Here is a 19,968-nt window from a genome sequence, read left to right on the forward strand (position 1 = left end):
GAAAATTCAGGCCATAACTCTCCAATTTACAACATGAAAAGCAATATTTTATTCAAGTGCATGCATTCTGAGGCCTATAGCTAAGCAGGGGCTTTAAGGGCGTGTGCCACTAGATGCGATATAAAGACTACATTAAGGTCAGAATACCGAAGTGACCAATTTACAGAGGAGCTTTTGTGGAGGTAACGCACAAAGAGCCAAACAAATGTTATTCAAGCCCATCTCGCCTCTGGGTTTTGAAAAGCTGGTGACAGGGTAAAAATCCAATCACTCCACTGTGTGGAAACAACTCATGTCATTAGTTTTTTGGCATTTTCTTTTGTGATGCAGTGCAGCTAATGGTCGGTATAGGCAGCTGTATAGACCAGCCATTTGAGGAGCCACACTTTAGACACACAGGCATGGCTGTGTTCAGTTTAATAGGAACCATGTGTTCCAATCAAAACAACATCTGACCCTCATGCTTCAAATAGTGTGTATGCTTCTCAAGGGGTCTATTCAGTCAGACAGCTGTTGGGAGGTTTATTCCCACATTTTAAATTTGTCTTTGGCCTGGACAAACTGCTCATGTTTTAATATTTCTCTGGATATTGTTTTTCACTGTTTTACCTCCTCAGCTTAAAGCTTTGGTTCCCAGCTCAAATCCCAAATTGTTTTTAAGGTGAGGTCCACTAAAATTCATTTGATCTTCTTTTTTTTTGGTGTTATTTTACAGCAGAAATTCAGATTAAAGTTATTTTCAAAGATTAGGTTACTAAGGGGTAACTTAAAATCCTTTGGCTTTAATGATTTCTCTGTGTAGACCAGGATAAAAACACTTTCTTTTCTTTCTTTTTTTTTTTTTTGAGGCGGAGTCTCTCTCTGTCAGGCTGGAGTGCAGTGGCACAATCTCAGCTCACTGCAACCTCCGCCTCCCGGGTTCAAGTGATTCTCCTGCCTCAGCCTCCCGATTAGCTGGGACTACAGGCGTGTGCCACCATGCCCAGCTAATTTTCATATTTTTAGTAGAGACGGGTTTCACCATGTGGGTCAGGCTGGTCTCTAACTCCTGACCTCAGATGATCCACCTGTCTTGGGCTCCCAAATTGCTGGGATTACAGGTGTGAGCCACCGCAACTGGCCAAGAACACTTTCTTTTGATTCAAAGATTTTTTTCTCTGATCCTTCAAAATATATGGAGGCTTGAGTTGCTACGTAGTAGAGATGTTAAATGAAAAAAGTAGTTAAGGACCCTAATTCTGAATTTCCTAAAAAGAATCAATTCAGTGAAAAAGAGAGGCTGTACAGCACTTTGGCTAGGAGCCTTGGTTTTGGAATCAGACACCTCCGAGGTAGAAACCCTGCTCCGCCGCTAGCTGCAAGATCGTGGGCAATGACCTAGCCTGTTCAAGATTTACCTTCCTTATAGAGAAAACAGAGAAGCCTCATCTCAGCGGATTAAATGAGATAATGTGTGGTAAGTACATAATCTAGTTCCTAGAAAACAGTACATATTCAATAAAGTACAGCTTTATTTCAAAACTCAAATCTCTAGTCTTATCCATAAAGAGGAAGCAGCACATGGCAAGTCCTGTGATGGGGAGGGAGCTTAGTGACTTTTCGGACTGAACCGAATTCCTTGTGGCTAGAGACAAGTACACAGTGGGGAGAATGGTGAAAGATGAGCCAGAGTTCAGGATCTTGTCACACCGTCCCTGGGCCCCCTCATACATTATCAGCTGAATCTGCCTGATAGTGGGGGCATCTTGACACATGCATGAAATAAAACACTACTGGAAAAAATGAGCCAGAAGTCACTCGCCATGGACCCCCAGATCCTTTCTGAACTTTTAATCTACTCACTGCTGTGAAGCATTTGAGTCTAATAAGGGGTTGACATTTACAACGGACACTTCTGAAAGATCACCATAAAGCACCGAGATATTTTACATCTTTACGCAAACCCTCTAATAAAAAAAGAAAGCAAAATGAAAGGTAAAACAAATAGATTTCAGTCTTAGTTTATAATAGACTTATTTAGGTGGTTATGATGAAATGGGACATGGAGAATACACATGGATGGTCAGGCATTTCAAAATTTTGCTTAGGTTCACGTTGCTTTTTTGTTTTTGGAGACAGGGTGTCACTGTGTCACCCAGGTTGAAGTGCAGTGGCATGATCATGGCTCACTGCAGCCTCAACCTTCTGGGTTCAAGCAATGCCCCCAACTCAGCCTCTCGATAGCTGGGACTACAGGCACAAGCCACTGTGCCCAGCTAATTTATTATTATTATTTTTTTGTAGACACAAGGGTCTCACTATGTTGCTCAGATTGATCTCAAACTCCTGGCATTCACTGGCATAGCCACATTCTTATTAAGGTGTGGGCACCTACCTTTTTCCTTTGGAAGTTCACATCAAGTTTCATTGAGGCACACTTGTTCAACGTATTTAGTCGTCTAAAAGGAAAGAAAAATGTGATGATTACTTTCACTAATGAATTTAAATCTCTCCAGTTTGATAATCCTCCTTTATTTCCAGTAAAGTTGAAACTGCAGGAACAACCAATTATGTCCCAAGACAGTACTGCACCCACAGAAGGTATGCTATATAGTAGTTCCCATTTGTGCTCCAGCCTCCTGACCTGAGAGGACTCTACCACTAAGCCTACCAATCCCTGCCTTTTCCCTAATCTAAACCCAGCCCTTTTCTGGCTTCTCTTTCCACTGTTCTTGGAATCCATGGCTGATCATTTTAGCCATACTTTCACTATCTCCTCCAATCGTTTGCCACCTTGACCTTGCATCAAGTCTATCCCGTTAACCTCTAAATATGGATCAACACAACCGTGTATCTTCTCTCCTGATCTCAGGTGGTTGGGTATAGGTAGAAAATAACTCACATCACAGTGCTGAATTATACATGCTATAGGCTAACTATGCCGCTCCAGAACACATACGTTGAAGCCCTCCATTCACATATGTGAATGTCCAACGTGATTGATTTGGAGTAAAGAAGTGATTAAGGGTAAAGGGGTCTACCAGGGAGGAGCTCTGATCCCAGAGGATTAGTGTCCTTGTAAGAAGAGATACCAGAGAGCTCCCTCTCTCTCTCTGCATGTGAGGACACAGTGAGAAGGCAGACATCTACAGGTCACAGGACCCTTACCAGGAGCCAAACCCTGCCAGCACCTTGATCTTGAACTTTCCAGCCTCCAGAACCGTGAGAAAATAAATTTCTGTTGTTTAAGCCACTCGGTCATGGTGTTCCATCATGGCAGCCTGTGCTAATAAATACATTTTGATTTTCACCCTCAGCTGGACTCTCAAAGATGTTACCCAGCATTTCTTTCATTTCGTTGGGATTACAGGCATGAGCCACTGTGCCCAGCCCCTCTTTCTGACTTCTATCATCCGTAGATTAGTTTTGCTTCTTCTTGGTCATTGTGTAAGTAGAATTATATAGTATGTATTTTTTGAGTGACTGTTTTTTCATTCAACACAACGTTTGTGAGATTGACTCATGTTGTTGAGTATACCAATAATCATTCAGCTTAGTTCCTGAGTATGAAGACACACAATTGGGTTACCTATTCTCTTGCTGATGGACATTTGAGCTGTTTCCAGTCGTTTCTTTTGTTTGTTTGTTTGTTTTTTGAGACGGAGTCTCACTCTGTTGCTCAGGCTGGAGTGCAGTTTCGCAATCTCCGGCTCACTGCAAACTCTGCCTCCCAGGCTCGAGCAATTCTCCTGCCTCAGCCTCCTGAGTAGCTGGGACTACAGGTGCACACCACCACACAGGCTAATTTTTGTATTTTTAATAGAGATGGGGTTTCACCATGTTGGCCAGGATGGTCTCGATCTCCTGACCTCGTGATCCACCCACCTCAGCCTCCCAAAGTGCTGGGATTACAGGCGTGAGCCACCGCGCCCAGCTTGTTTCCAGTTTTGACCAATGAATTTCTAACCATTGAATTCAATGGCTTCTTTTTAGCAAAGACCTATTAATAGCAATAGTCACAAATTAGTACCCATCATTCCTTGAAATTCTTTTCATCCTTGACATTCAAGATTATGAATTATCTCATCTCTCTGGACACCATCTCCTTCCTGCCACGAAGCAGTACTTGCCCTTTAACTATTAATTTTTTTGTTAGAATTCAGACTGAGGTCCATCCCTTTTTACTCTCCATGGCCTTACTGAAGAATCTTAACATAAATTAGACTCAAGTGATACCCAGTCCTCTGTCTCCAGCCCAGGCATCTCATCTGAGGCCAGAGTCACATTCTGCATTCTCTTCAAAACCTGTTTCTCCTACGTACTGTCTTGTCTTGACTAAGAGCATCACCAATGGGCCATCCAAACTAGAAAATAATGTCATCTTGAGGCTCTACTCCTTCACAATCTACATTCGTTGATCACCAAATCCTGTCAATTATACCTCTATGATGTCTTTGAAGTCTTGCCTCTCCTTTGGCCCTAATTCAGTCTCCTGTCGTTGTTTATCAAGAGTCAGGCATCAGCCTCCTAATTGGTTTCACTACCACTTCTAAAACTTTACACTGAAACCAGTTCTATTTCTCAACTTTTTCTCACGTCGCTCACCGACTGAAATACGTTTAATGACTCTCCTCATTTTCAACCACCTCCAATGTACCCTCTGACTACGCATTCATTAGTGTCAGATATAGCAGGCAATGCTGAGTTGGAAGCTGATCATCTCATCTGAGACCATCTTTGGCAGGCTCTCAGCCTGTCTCTTTGGTCTGTTCCACGTGTGTTAGCATGTCTACCTAAGAGTGGGTGTGAAGTGAAAAAAAATGGTGGATATTGCACATTTGGTGGCTCTGTAACAGGTTTGTTTAGGGGAGGATTGCCTGTTATTTATAAAATGAACTTATCTAGTGAACTTGTTCTTCCATTAGGGTTTGGAAGCACAAACAAAACACTCCATTCTGCTTTTCTGTGGAAAAGCTTTTGATCTACGACACACACACAAGACATCAAAGGAATCATCTTCTATATACCACAGACTCGAATATGCTTTATACTTTCTGACACATGCAGGAAGTTTATTTATTATTTTCTAAAGCTGAAGACTCTAAGTAGATTTGACTTTATAGCTCTGGGTCCTTTTATTGCCCCTAAACTCAGATGTTTGCCTGTACCTTACAAATTGCTTCTCTACTTGGAAAAAGCAGTTGCAAAACATGTATTTGATAAAGGACTCATATACAGAACACCTAAAGAATTCTTAAACTCAGTAACAAGTCAAACAACCTGATTTTCAAATGGGCAGAATATTCAAACAGATACTTCTAAGAGAAGACATGAAAGGATGTTCAATATCATCAGTCATGAAAGAAATGCAAATTAAAATCATAACGAGACACCACTACACAACAGAATACCTAAAGTAAAAACGCTGACAACATTAAGTATTAGCAAGGATTCAGAACTACTGAAACTTCCAAAGCGTACAGTCTCTTTGGAAAACAGTTTGGCAGTCTCTTATGAAATTAGATATATTTTTAGTACTTGATCTAGCAATTCCACTCTCAGCTACTTATGCAAGATAAAAGAAATCACATGTCCACAAAAAGATTTATACTTTTTATAATTTTTTTTTTGCTGTAAAAAGATTTGTACTTGAATGTTCATAGCAGCTTTAATCATAAGATAGCCAAAAAGTAGAAATGGCCCAAATGTCCATCAGCTGGTAAATGGATATAAAAATTGTGGTATATCCATACAATGGAATACTCAACAATTCAAGGCACTAACTATTGATACATACAACACTATACATGAATCTCAGAGTCATTATGCTAAGTAAAAGAACCCAGACACAAAGAGCATACACTACAGGATTCCACTCATCAAAAAAATTTCAGGCAAGGCAAAACTGTAGTGACAGGAAACAGATGAGTGGTTGCCAAATGCTGGCACTGGGGGACTTTTTGAGGTCACAAAAATGTTCTGTGTCACGGCTGGGCATGGTGGCTCATGCCTGTCATCCCAGAACTTTGGGAGGCCAAGGTGGGCAGATCGCTTGAGCCCAGGAGTTTGAGACCAGCCTGGGCAACATGGAGAGGCCCTGTCGCTACAAAAAAAATATATAAAAATTAAGCCGGGTGTGGTGGCTTATGCCTGTAATCCCAGCACTTTGGGAGGTGAAGGCAGGTGGATCACCTGAGGTGAGGAGTTCAAGACCAGCCTGACCAACATGGTAAAACCCCATTTCTACTAAAAATGCAAAATTAGCCAGGCGTGGTGGCACATGCCTGTAATCCCAGCTACTCAGGAGGCTGAGGCAGGAGAATTGCTTGAACCCGGGAGGCGGAGGTTGCAGCGAGCCGAGATTGCACCATTGCACCCCAGCCTGGGTGACAGAGTGAAACTCCATCTCAAAAAAAAAAATTAGCTGGGCATGGTGGCACGTGCCTGTAGTCCTAGCTACACAGGAGGCTGAAGTGAGAGGATCACTTGAGCCTGGGAGGTCAAGGCTGCAGTGAGCTGAGACCACGCCACTGCACTCCAGCCTGGGTGACATAGTAGGACCCTGTAGCTGAAAAAATAAAGTTTTATGTCACGATTGTGGTGATAGTTACATAGCTGTACATTTCACAAAATTAATCAAATTGTATGCTTTGGTGATTTTTTGGAATATAAATTATATTTAAATAAAGCTGAATAAAAAATAATGCAAGTGAGTGACATCAGTGAAAAAGGTTAAGTGAAAACCTCCAAAACCCCACTTCTTCATAAAATCAACAAAAGTACTGGCAGATATTGTCAAAATCAACTTTTTAAGAAAGCTGTAAATTGATATGGGCTTCCAACAAACTAAGTAACACTAAGTGTCTATTTAAGAAAAATGGTTAAACATATGTAAGGACAGTGAGCTTTGTGACATTCAAACCCACCCTATTCCTATGCCCTTTTCCCCAGCTTTTCAGGAGCTTTGAAAATCAACAGCATCACCGTCAGAGTAGCTGTGAAAACTAGTAGCCTTGCATCCACTGGAGAGGGAAGAACATGTTTGAGCTTCCCCAAAACTCCGTTACCAAAGAATTGTCATTATCTGAGCTGTCTGGGAATTCCCTGAAAACCCCCAGTTCACAGCGCTTGTCTTTATTTAACCTGACTCAAATCATTACTGAAACTAGCTTATACCCAGGGTGTTTGTCAAAGACAGTCAGTAGTAATTAGTCAACATGGCAGTTGCCTGAAATGGTAATAACAGTTGAGCCAAACAAGATGCTAACCAAAAAGCTTAAAAAGAATATCTGGGAGAATGAGATGTCCATAGGGGACTTAGAAAAGTTCCAATGTATTCCTAGGAATCTAGAAGGCCAAGTACATGTGCAGAACTGTGTGTATACCCAGGAAAGACCTGAGCTGGCCCTAATCTTCCACCTTTAGCTGACCTTGATGATCTGCACAAGCAGGAAATCAAGGCTAAGGCAGAGTTATCAATTCCCTGCTGCAGTGCTGAAGCCATATTGTAACATGCACAAAGAGCCGCTCAGCAAAGACTGAGGGATTGGTTGAAGGTATCTAAGAAAATCTCTGTCCAATCATTTGCTGATTACTAAATTAACTGAGTAGATACTTCAGTGGATACAACAAGGGATACAGACTTTAGAGAATTAGTTCCAGATATTCATTAAACAGATAGCAACAATGACCACCCTGGGAAGAGAAGATCTGATTTCAAGAGGTGCCATATTACAATATTTAAAATGTCCAGTTTTAAACAAACAAACAAACAAACAAAAAACCAAAACAGTGGATATCAGCAAATTGATTCTAAAGTTTATATGAAGGAGCAAAAGACTCAGAATAACCAACACAATAATGAAGGGGCAAAACTGGAGGACTGACACTATCCAAATTCAAGACTTCCTATGAAGCCATAGTAATCATGATAGTATGGTACTGGTGAAAGAATAGACAAAGAGATAAATGGAGCAGAATGAGGAACCCAAAACAGACTCGCACAAAGAGAGTCAACTTACGTTTATAAAGGAGCAAAGGCAATACGATGGATAAAAGGTAGTCTTTCCACAAATGCTGTTGCAACAAGTGGATATTCAAATGCAAAAAAAATTTAGTCTAGACACAGACCTTATATCATCACAAAAATTAATTCAAAATGAATCATAGACCTAAGTGTAAACACAAAGCTATACAACTCCAAAAAGATAACATAGGAGAAAATCTACATGACTTTGAATAAAGTGATGACCTTTTAGATTCAACACCACAGGCCTGGTCCATGAAAGAAATAACTGATAAACCAGACTTCATTAAAATTCAATACTTCTACTTAGTTCTTTCAGAGAAAAAAACTTTCAAGAGAAAGAGAAGACAAGCTATATACAGAGAGAGCATATTTGCAAAAGATATCTCTGTTAAAGGACTATTAGCTAAAATATATAAAGAACCCTTAAAACTCAACAATAAGGAAACAAACAGCCCAGTTAAAAAGAGGGCAAAACATCTGAACAGACAACTCACTAAAGGAGATGAATATATGGTAAACAAGCCTTTAAAAAGGCACTCAACATCACATGTCATTAGGGAATTGCAAACTAAAACATCCATGAGATACAACCACATATCTAAGGTAAAAATCTAAAACACTGACAACACTAAATGCTGGTGGGAATGTGGAGCAACAGAAACTCTCATTCATTGCTGGTGGGAATGAAAAATGGTATGGCCACATTGGAAGACAGTGGGCAGCTTCTTACTGCCAAATACACTTTTATCATATACTCGAGAAATTGCACTTCTAGGCATTTACTCAAATGAATGGAAAACTTACATCCACATGCAAACCTGCACGTAGGTATTTATAGTAGCTTTTTCATAATTTTCAAAACTTGAAAACAACTGATATGTCAGGTGAATGGATAAACTGTGGTCCATGTGGGCAATAGAATGTTATTCACCAGTAAAAAGAGGTGAGCTATCAAGCCATGAAAAGACATAGAAGAAACTTAAGTGCATGTTACTAAGTGAAAGAAGCCAGTATGAGAAGGCTATATCCTCTATGATCCAACTATATAGCATTCTAAAAGAGGCAAAACTGTGGAGATAGTGAAAAGATCAGTGGTTGCCAGGGGTTGGGGAGAGGAGGAGTGGAAAGGTGGAACACAGAGGATTTTTAGGGCAATGCAGCTACTCTCTATGATACTATAATGGTGGATGCATTTGCCAAAACCCACAGAATATATAACACCAAGTGTGAACCCTAATGTACACTATGGAGAATTTGGGTGATAATGATATGTCAATGTAGGTTCATTGATTCTAGAAAATGTACCAGTCTGGTGGGGGATGTTGATAGTGAGTGGGCGGGGGGCTGTGCCTGTGTGGGAACAGGCTATATATGAAAACTCTCTGTAGTTTCTGCTCAGTTTTGTTGTGAACCTAAAAATTCTCTAAGAAACAAAGTCAATTTTTAAAAATGAAGTCTTTTTTTATTCATTTAAAACAATTTCATTTTTTGGACTTTGAAATTACTGATGTAAAATTATCTATGTGTCTTCTGTTCTTGGTTTACTTGCTCATTAGTTGCCATTCCTACTAACAAAGTCATCATCACTGAAGACATCTTAGACATTTTAGGTAGATTTCAAACAACCATCCAAATCTTCCTTCTGAATCTTGCCATAAGCCAAAGGGGAAAATAGTCTATGGTTGTCTGAAACTAGGTACATATTCCCATCACGGTATAGCATTGGCCTGTGATTTAGCTTACACAAGGTAAAATAAACAATGGCTAGATTCTGTAAGAATACAAATTGGATGAAACATATCCCTGACAGATGTAAACGCCTCTTTAAGATCTGACTGCCTCAAGTAAAAGAATATGTCACAGTGGAAGTATTCATCACACTTTATCAAAACCACTGCAAAATTCTCGTGTGAGTGAAGCCAATCTGCATTTAGGACAAATATTTAGCCCCAGTATCTGCTTCCCTTTAACTTAATCATAAGTAATATAAAATCCTTCAGATAATCTGAGTTGGTCTAATACTGGTTCCTTGGAAAACTGTTCCTGCATGGATGAAAATTTCAATTATAGAATGTATTTGCAGCATGAATAGTGTGTCCTCCATTGGATTGGAGCCTTGATTCAGACAGGGACCATAATTTATTCTTCTTCTAATCCCCATAAATCCTAGAAGGAAGTTTTATACATGATAGGCTCGGTAGGCTTTTCTTTTTGAACTGAGCATGCTTTGTTCATATAGGTCCAATCAGTGATTGACTTTAAGTAGTTACAATAGACCTTGTATAGTCAGGATAGCAGAATTATTCTCCACCACTGAGTATGACAGGCTATGAGTTGCATCTTATTTGCATTCTTCATGCCTAGTACAGGCCCTGGCTCAGAGCCAATCCATTCAGATAATGTTTGCTAAGGAAACATTAGATCCTGGACAACACTAGGGACCACTTGGACTGATGCTTTTATTTTCAGATGAGAAGATAAAGTCTCTGAGGGGACCATATGCTCAAGGCAGCCACACATTAGTGAGCAGCCAAGCTAGAACTTCTTTCTGCCATGTGATTTATCTGCTCCTGTCTACTTAAGAAAAATTTTAGGAAGGCCTGGGAAATGAGAGCTTATGTCATGTACCCAGCACAGGCTATTCAATAAACACTTGTTTCCATACCCTCTCTACTTTCTCCATGGGAAGAGAAAACCCATGGCACATGATGAAGCCTGTCCTCTTCATGTTTTGAGCAAACTGAATTCATGTGTTAACCTAAACACAGCAGTTTGACCCTTTCAGAAGATAATGATACTGCTGCCACAACCTGTTAATTTTTACTGTTGTCTTCAGAATCCTTGAGAAGGGCTAATACGCTAGCAAATGTGAAATAGTAGTCTCATTTTAAGAGTGAAACTTGAGGTTCTAATGGGAAAGTCAACAAGAAGAGAAGAAGCCAAGATTCGTTCATCCGACAGTGCGCTGTGTACCAGGAATAAGTTAGGTGCTGGGAATACAGTATTTAAAAAGATATGGTCCCTGCCCTTGAGAATCTCATGGTCCCATGTGGGATAGAAACATGATTAAAAAGAGAAGAAGCTACTCACTTTCTGAGAGCATAGGGACAACGCCTCCCAGAGGAGGTAATATTTGAGCATACCTATGATGGATTAAGAGAAATTTGCTGTCTAGGCAAGGAGAATTACAGGAAAAAAAAATAGGCACAAAATAGCAGGGTATAATCCAGGAATTGCAAATATATGAAAAGGGGTGTTAGTCTGTTTTCATTGCTATTAAGGAATACCTGAGACTGGGTTGATTTATAAGGAAAAGAAGTTTAATTTGGTTCATGGCTCTGCAGGCTGTACAAGGAGCATGGTGTTGGCCTCTGCTTCTGGTAAGGCCTCAGGAATCTTACCATGACAGCAGAAGGTGAAGAGAGGGTGTGCATACCACACGGTGAAAGCAGGAGGGAGAGATAGAAAAGGGGAAGGTTCCAGGCTCTTTTAAATAACTAGATCTCACGTGAACTAACTGAGGGAGAATTCAACATCAGGAAGATGACACTAAACCTTTCATGAGGGATCTGCCTCCATGAGCCAACACCTCCCACCAGGCCCCAACTCCAACACTGGGAATTGAATTCCAATGTGAGATTTGGAGGGGACAGACATTCAAACCATATTGAGGGATAAGCCTGGACAAGCAGGCAGGGGCTAGATCACAAAGGATTCAAATGAAGATGTTAGGAGCAATCTGGTACAATGAGGAGCTACTGAAGGATTTAGACAGGAGCGTAACATAGATTTGCATTTTAGAAATGTAACTGGCAGCAGGATAGAGAAGGAACTAAAGAGAAACAATTATAACATGGTTCTAATAGTCCAGGGGAGAGATGGCAGAGAGATGCAAAAGGGGAGTGAGAGTGGGATGTCTGCGTGAAGACAGAGACTCGGCCATTGGTTGATGTGGAAGCTGCAGAGAGGCAGAAACAGAGGATGACTCCCAGATTTCAGACTTTGCTGAACATGCCGTTAAACACAGAGGAAACAGGGAAATAGGGAAGTTGACAGGGAGCTAAGATATGGGGGAGATCATGATCATGCTCATGTTTGGATATGTTAAATTTTAGGGGCCCTGTCACATTCAGACCCACTTGGGAATGGTCCACATATGGATGATATACACAGAAGATACATAATAATTAAAGTCAATCATCCAGGGGAAATCCAGAACTCTGGAGAATTACAGTGGTTAAGGCATGGGCCAAGGAAGGGAGCCAGGTTCAGGGAAGGTGCAGTCAGAGATGTAGGAGTCGACAACAACTAGCTGAAGATGGTGTCCTAGGACCCTGGAATTGAGATAGAATGGGAGTGGTGAGAGGCTCCTCCTTCACATGTTTTTTTCATTTTTTTTCTTCTTCTCTTCTCAAAACCCATGCTACTACTTTGCTGACACTATACCTGCTAACCCCGAGGCTTCAGTCATACAAAAAAAAAAAAAAATAGCCATTCTTCTGTGCTCTTATAAAGTTTTACCCTGTCTTTTACTTAAAGAACTCCAGGAACTGGCCTTAGGAAACCAAACACTGAACCAAGTTTGCAGTGTCCCACCTCAGAAAGGAATGAGGAACAACTAATGTACAGCCTTGTTGCCTCCAGCCAGACCTCAAGGTGGCCCATTACTCAAGATAACCATCGTGACCTACTCATCCCCTACCCACCATGGGCTTTGCCCAGCCCAGCCCACATACCTCCTCCGATGTCAATTCTCTGCCTAATAAAAAAAATCCCTCCCAGCTCTTTTTGGGAAACTAGCTGGAGGATCCTTGGGCCTCTGCTGTCTCCCTTGTGCTCAAGCACAAGCCTTGAAATAAAAGCCTAGTCTGGGAAATGTGCCTGGTCCCGCGTTAATTCCCGTATTACATGGGGAGCCGAAGAGCCCGTGGCCTATAACAGAATGAGCATTAAAAAAAGGAGGGAGTAATTGGGTGGCTGTATCAAATCTTTAAGAAAGAGTAAGTGATAAAGCCTAAAAACACTTTTTGGATTGAGCAGTTCATGAGGGCAGTATTAGGAAAGGCATGGACATTCTTTTAAAATGTCTAGCTAAGAAGGAGGGTGATTTAGGTTATTTTGAGGAGAAAGTGAAGAATTTATCACCACATAGTCTTCTCTAACATGAAGATGCCATCAAGTAATTTGAGAACTGACAGGCTGTTTTCTTCCAGGTTCCAGTTCAATTTAACAAATGTTTATGGAAGTCCTGCTCAGTACAAGGCCATGTGACACCAAGCACCCACGATATACCACTGACTAAGATGCCATCCCCACTGTTGAGCACTTGGAAATTGGTAGAAAGTCCCTTGCATGGTCAGCAGACCCTAATGGAAGTAAGGCGGTCGTCAGCAGAAAATCGAGCTGTGCACAGACTGCCTGGGCACACAGGAAAAGAGCCAGAGAGGGATGCCCAGGGCCTGGGAGGATGGCCAGGAGTGCAGGAACGGAGGGACCAGGAAGAAGGACCAGAGAAACGCTGGGCGACTGTGTGCCGGGAGGGATGTTAAGCAGCCTGTGTGCCCTGAGTATTGCAGGGTGGCTGGGAGGTGCCCGGGCCCAGACCAGCAGGGGCGTTTGACTCAAGCTGAAACAGAAGCCTGGAGAGACACCCAGCGGCCCTCTGCCTACAGATGTATAGGAAAACAATAGGACTCTCTCCTTCTTTGTAGTTTAGATTCCCATTTGACATCTAAACTGCCAGACTTTAGACTGGTCATGAAGTCTCTCGTGTTGATTTAATGACCAGTTTCCTGTGATACTTCTAATATTCCTGCCAAAGGCTTGAGAGAAATAACAACCAGGGGCATGATGAGTTCAACTCTTACAGACAATTCTGATTAAAGCCTAGCAGCCTGAACTTCTCACCCAGGCTCCTATGTATGTCCTAGCCCGGCCTGCTGGGGAGTGTTCCGGGTGGGGCCCTCCAAGACATTCAGGAACCTAAGTCACTGAGGATGTGTTCTTAACCTAGGGATCAAAGGCAAGTCAGGGAGCAGCTCCTCCTCCTCGGGCTGTAGCTGCAGGGCATGGGAAAGGTCTCCATGCTGGCGGACTGTTGGAAAATGCAGATTCTGGAGAGCAGAGATGGATATACTAATGCCAAAGAGACAATTCTGGTATGTAACTCCATGAGGGTGGGGCCTTTCAACAATCACAGGCCATCCACAGGGAGGGTGTCGGGCGCACTGGGGGCAGGGGGCAGGAAAAAGAAAGAGGACAGTCAGAAGTCAGAAGTCAGCAGGTGGTGTCACCGTGCCACTACGCAGCCAGGGAAGGCCACACCTCTGTTCAGCTTTTCCCTCTGATGTTCTGCCGAGTGGTCAGGCTGCAGCAGGAATACTGACCTCTGTTCCAGTCCATAAACCCCAAAAGAACTGCCCCTGGACATTAGTTGAGGTGTGGAAGAAAAGCAGTTAAACATTGAGGGCTCTAGCTATACAAAGAAAATTAAGTATATGTATGCTGTCCAGGGACACGATATCTATGTGGAACTGTGTGAATTTCATTTAGCTTGTGCAAGAAAATAAATGTAAATAAGCTATGTGCTTTAATCATCAGGACTTCAAGGAAGAACATAGGCTCTCTTGGCTATTCAATAAAAAGTGATGGCCAAAGTGGCCCGGGGGAAAGAACTTAAAACAAAAAAAAAGTCCAGGTTTTCTTGGACCTCTTTAGTTTGTGGAATTTCAGACCAATTTTATATTCACATGTGCTTGTATTGGAAAATTGAGTGGGGTGTCCTTAGCTTTTTATTGTAACTGTTTACAATAATTGCATCAGATCCAGATAATTTTTCTAGTGAGAACTGGTCCAGCTTCAAGTGAGGGTCATGACTAGCGATTTCTGAGAGAGGGTCAAGAACTGAAGGCTGAGCAAAGCAGCCGCGCGGGAACCGGCTGCTCAGGAGCCCACCCCTCACTCACACTGAGGCTTCTTTCCTTCCCCTTCCCCTGGGGCTTCTTTCCTTGGGGCTTCTTTTCACTTGGGGCTTCTTTCCTTCCCCTTCCCCTGCCTGCCCGTAGAGAGGATTCCCCGGCATCCACTCTTAGTCCTCTCCTCACTGTCCCAGCTGTCCCTGAGTGACCTCATGCACTCTCAGGGCCTTCCTCCTCACATGCTGGTGACTTCACATCTCCATCCCCAGCTCCGGGCCGGGCACCCTACTGAACACTGGACATTGGCACCTCACCCACCCAACACCTCAGCCCACCCTATCTTCCCTCCTGACTCGCTCCTCCTTCATGGTTGTTCCCCACCTCAGGGAAGGGTATCTCTGCCACCCAGCTGCTCAAACCAGGAGGACTCAGCTCACCCTCAATTCTGAACAACACCTGTTATTCATAGGCTGTTATGAAAATTAAGTGAGATCAATGTAAAGAGCTTAGCACACAACTTCATGCATAATGAACACTCACTAAATGTTAGCCATTAGCATCTGCAAGGCAAGGCATTTTTTAAAACATTGCTAATGTTTTTAATAATGCAATACAAACACCTGAAATATACATAGAGAAGTGAATAACAAGAATATAAAGTCTCTCTCTTCCCCTCAATCTCCTCCCTGATTTTGTATCTTCTTACACATTCTTCCTGAAAGCTTAGGCATATAAAAGTCATCCTGAGTACCTGGTTGAAAAAGATCACAAAAGAGGCCATTAAAAATATATATAAAATCATTTTTTATACAAAATAATATATACTAGCAAAATCCCCTATCTTTGAACCTATTATGTCTGTTCCTGACTATACCTCAAGCCTGTCCCCAAACTCTATAGACTAGTGAGGCAGACAGCTAGCCAGAGAACAGACATGATTACTTGCAGGAAGCTAAAAGCAATACAAATAGGGCCAAACAGGTTAGTGCAAGAACCCACTTCCTAGTGGAAAGGAATGGTTACAACAGGCTGTACCAATAAAGACAGGCAGCAGCCATCCTGCTTTAGGCACAGATAAGAATGTAACAAAGAAGAAACTGGCCACAACAGGGTAAATGCAAGATATACATGCTACAGTTAATTAGTATATATTTAAAAACACAAATTATGCAAATGAATGACTGCCAAACCTTGGCTGCATTACGCCCCCATTACCATAAAATTTCCATGGGTAAGGGCATCCCACTCCTATCACGCAGCTAACGCCATGGCGGTTCTGGATTAACAATACTTAGTCAATAAAAGGGTGGCATTCCAATTCCGAAAACTGCCCATCAATTTCCTGGAAAACCCATTCCCTTAGTATAGAATATTCCAAGCCTTCATTATACCTATTCATCTAGTTCGTGAGCCCTGGCCATGTTGGGCACGGCTCCTTCTTTTGAGCGTGTCCCTGTTCCTCTCTTGAGTGTGTTCTTGCTTTTGCTCTACAATAAATCTGCTACATTTTCACTTTGGTCTTGCTTTCAAATTCTTTTGTGTGGCAAAGACAAGAACCTGAAATGGCTCCACTGGCAACACTAAGATTGCAGTGGGGTTCATAGAGTGGGGTGGGGAAGGGGGAAGATGGCTTTTCTGCACATTAATTTAGTTTTTTTAAAAAAACTAAAAGTTCAAACAAGCCCATCCAAATGTCATGTGTTCTTGTCTGGGTAATTCCTACTACCATTTATTAGCTGTTAGTGGGCACATTCTTTTACCCCTCTGTTTCTCAGTTTCCTCCTCTGTAAAGGGGGAATGATGTTAACAGCCCATCTTTACAGTCAAGAATGCTGAAGAGCTTAAAACAGACAGGAGCCTATCTTACAGTGTTACCATGAGAATTTAATGAGTAAATATTTGCAATATACTTAAATGCAGTGCCTGGTATATAATAAGCACTTTGTAAGTGTTTTAAAGAAATAAAATAATGATTTATTGGGATCTGTATTTATTTATAGACTCAAGATTTTAAAGGTGGAAGTGACTGTGGTGATCATGTAACCCTCATATCCTTCTCCCAATGACTTGCCCAAGAAATCAGTTAATTGTCACTTATTATTTATTATAGGACATAATAATTTGAAATGTAATACTGTACATTTTCTGTGATAAATATTCTAAAAGGAAAAATATTTAAAATATCAATATTCATAAAGACTTTAATTATTTAATATTATTAATGTTATTCAACATACTCGAATCAAGTATGGGCCTTTGTATGTGTAGATAAATTGTAGATACCATTTTTGTCAACACTACCTTCCAATCCCCACCCCTGCCCCATGTGAAAATCATTATTTATTATCCTTTTAAATACTAAGGGCAATGATACGTATACTGTATAATCCTAACCGATTCCTTAGCTCTATCAAACAAGGTGAATGCCCTTGTTTTGCATGTGCTATAATTAATTAGTATTTATTAAAAAACACAAATTATGCAAATGGCTTACTGGCCTAACATTAAATTGGAAATTCAGAGATGGCCAGGCATGGTTGCTCACGCCTGTAATCCTAGCATTTTGTGAGGCCGAGTTGGGTGAATCACTTGAGGTCACGAGTTTGAAACCAGCCTGGCCAACATGGAGAAACCCCATCGCTAATAAAAATACAAAAAATGTAGCTGGGCGTGGTGGTTGGTGCCTGTAATCCCAGATAGTTGGGAGGCTGAGGCAGTAGAATTGCTTGAACTTGTGAGGTGGAGGTTGTAGTGAGCTGAGATTGCACCACTGCACTCCAGCCTGGGTGACAGAGTGAGACTCTGCCTAAAAACAAACAAACAAAGAAAGAAATTCAGAGATCATCTTGAGCATCGGGGCTGTATGTCAGCAGCCTGAGCAAATACTGCAAACCAAAATGCAAATTTAACATAGTACTTCTCCTTCAAAATAGTTCATTCAGGAGCTTTGGTTTACTGCAATTTGTCCTAAAGGTTACAAACTCTGTAAACTATTTTAACACCTTGGCTATCCCTACATTCTGATAAAGTTACAGTTTCAATGAGCTCACCTAGGTACTTAGATTTCCAAGTAGCTTCTCATGACTTACAGGAGAAAATAATTTTCAATTAAGAATTCAATAAAAAACATCAGAATACAATTACAATTGTGGTTGTTACATTAATAAAAAGTGCACTTTCCTGACTTGCAGGGACAAACATTTATGGAGTGTCTACTATGCAGCCTTGCTGAAGCAACAGAGAGACATGGTTGTCATTCTGGAGGTCACACCTTCTGCAAAGACAGCAAATGTGTCTAGTTTCTGGGGCCTAAAATGAGAGCTAGAGAGAAAGAGAGAGAGAGAGAGAGAGCAAGAGAAAGCTACACATTTACATATTCAGAGCCTCAGAGCCAGGCCTTGGTCCTCCCTGCCAGACATATCCTTAGTACAATACATATTTCCAAACCAATCAAAAAAGGTAACACTGCTTAACAACTCAAGAGTAAATTGGGACCTAGGGCATTCACTATCTATCTACTCAGGAGAGATGCTTGCAGAATACCAAAGGTGAGTGGAATTCTTGTCATGGCTAACACTTGCGGGAGCTCTTTGACTCTCCCATCTTCATCTGCCTACCTGGCAGAAGCTGCCTGCCCTCCGGCTGTGATTCGGTTTATGATCTGCACTAGCTCAGCATTTCAAATACATACATGAAATGTAGAGCCCACAAAGCTTTAAAAATAAAACAAGAGACCAGCTCCATCTCTGTGTCTTTGGTGCACAAGGAAGAAAACAAAGAAAATCACAACCCCTTACTGCTGTCTTGGCATCCATCATGACTTACCATAGGAGTGGCTGAGGGTCTAATTAACCACTCATCAATCTCAAAGTTTTAAAAGTGCTGCCGTTCCCCGCGGACTGGAGATCTTCCTTCTGCCTGCTTTCTGCTTTTGCAAAGCTGGAAATCTGTGTCTTGGTGGATCTCAAGAGGAAGGGAAAGAAACTCCACACTTCTTTGTAGCCAAGCCACCTCCATCTGTCTACCTCCTCTGCTTCTTCCTTTGATCCACCCCGGGTATGACTACTCCTTTGGCCTCTGTTCTACACACAGCTCCTACGCCCTGAGAATCTCAGTTCGCACACCTCCAGCCAAATGTTTTTCTTGCTTCGTAATATTTTTGGAGACATAGCTGCCATAAGAATTATTCCAGTTATAACAACTTCCTGCCACTCTAACCATTTTTATACAAGCCGGGCCCTTATCAGGAGCACTGTGGTGTCTAGTATTGCAGCCTTATTCCACGGTGATGTGGTAATGCCTTTGGGGGTATGTATGGACGAATCCTGCTACGGGCTATATCATGACAGGTCATGTGCTCTACAAGAGAAGACTTCCTGATTTTTCTGGACGACACTAGTATTATTATCCTGAACTTTATATCTCTGAATGATTTCACATGAATTGTACTTGCTCATCCCTATGATATGTCTGGAAGATGCTTTCTGTTGTTAAAGCATAGACTTTGATGGAAAAGCCCATAACGTAGTCAAGGCATCTCAGATCACATGCAGCAGCAAGTGGATAAGGATTCAACACCCACATGTTTGAGAGTCAAAGCTTGGCCCGCTAAGCCACCTATATCATCCTGTAAATAGAACTGCATAATCAGAGACAATCTTTGTCCTTGCAATCCTGATTTTAAAATATGCAATAGAATTTTTATTCTTGGTTTAAAATGTATTTTTTCCTTAACATTTTAGACTTAAAATCTTCAGGAAACTACTACAAAGCTACTAGAACTCATGAGTGAGTTTTAGAAAGATTGCAGGATACAAAGACAATATACAAATTTGTATACTAGCAATGGGCAACTGAAGACAAACATTAAAACACTGTGTCATTTACAGTAACACCACAAACATGAAATTCTTAGATACTATCAATGTGAACCACTCATATGCTTAAAACTACAAGCACTCTTGAAAAAATCAAAGGAGACCTAAATAGAGACATATACTGTGTTTATTAACACAAAGACTAAATATTGTTGAGATATCAATT

General features: G+C 41.4%; 1 protein-coding gene across 11 annotated transcripts in view, besides 1 other annotated feature; it reads right to left on the minus strand.

The window, feature by feature from the left end:
• STARD13 (StAR related lipid transfer domain containing 13) overlaps nt 1-19,968 on the minus strand; it is a 573,658-nt gene that overhangs the window by 36,799 nt on the left and 516,891 nt on the right. For all 11 annotated transcript variants that reach the window (XM_017020835.3, NM_001243476.3, XM_047430759.1 and 8 more), the window contains one exon: nt 2,375-2,438. In XM_017020835.3, the coding sequence (XP_016876324.1) occupies nt 2,375-2,438 (64 nt within the window). The remainder of the gene's footprint in view (nt 1-2,374; nt 2,439-19,968) is intronic.
• Nucleotides 6,933-7,232: an enhancer, noted in NCBI's record as "active region_7570". NCBI's record gives its function as "activates an Ori minimal core promoter by ATAC-STARR-seq in GM12878 lymphoblastoid cells {active_cell/tissue: GM12878}" and the evidence as "EXISTENCE:reporter gene assay evidence [ECO:0000049][PMID:35858748]".

The sequence above is a fragment of the Homo sapiens genome, chromosome 13 (assembly GCF_000001405.40).
Source record: "Homo sapiens chromosome 13, GRCh38.p14 Primary Assembly".
Taxonomy (NCBI): domain Eukaryota; kingdom Metazoa; phylum Chordata; class Mammalia; order Primates; family Hominidae; genus Homo; species Homo sapiens.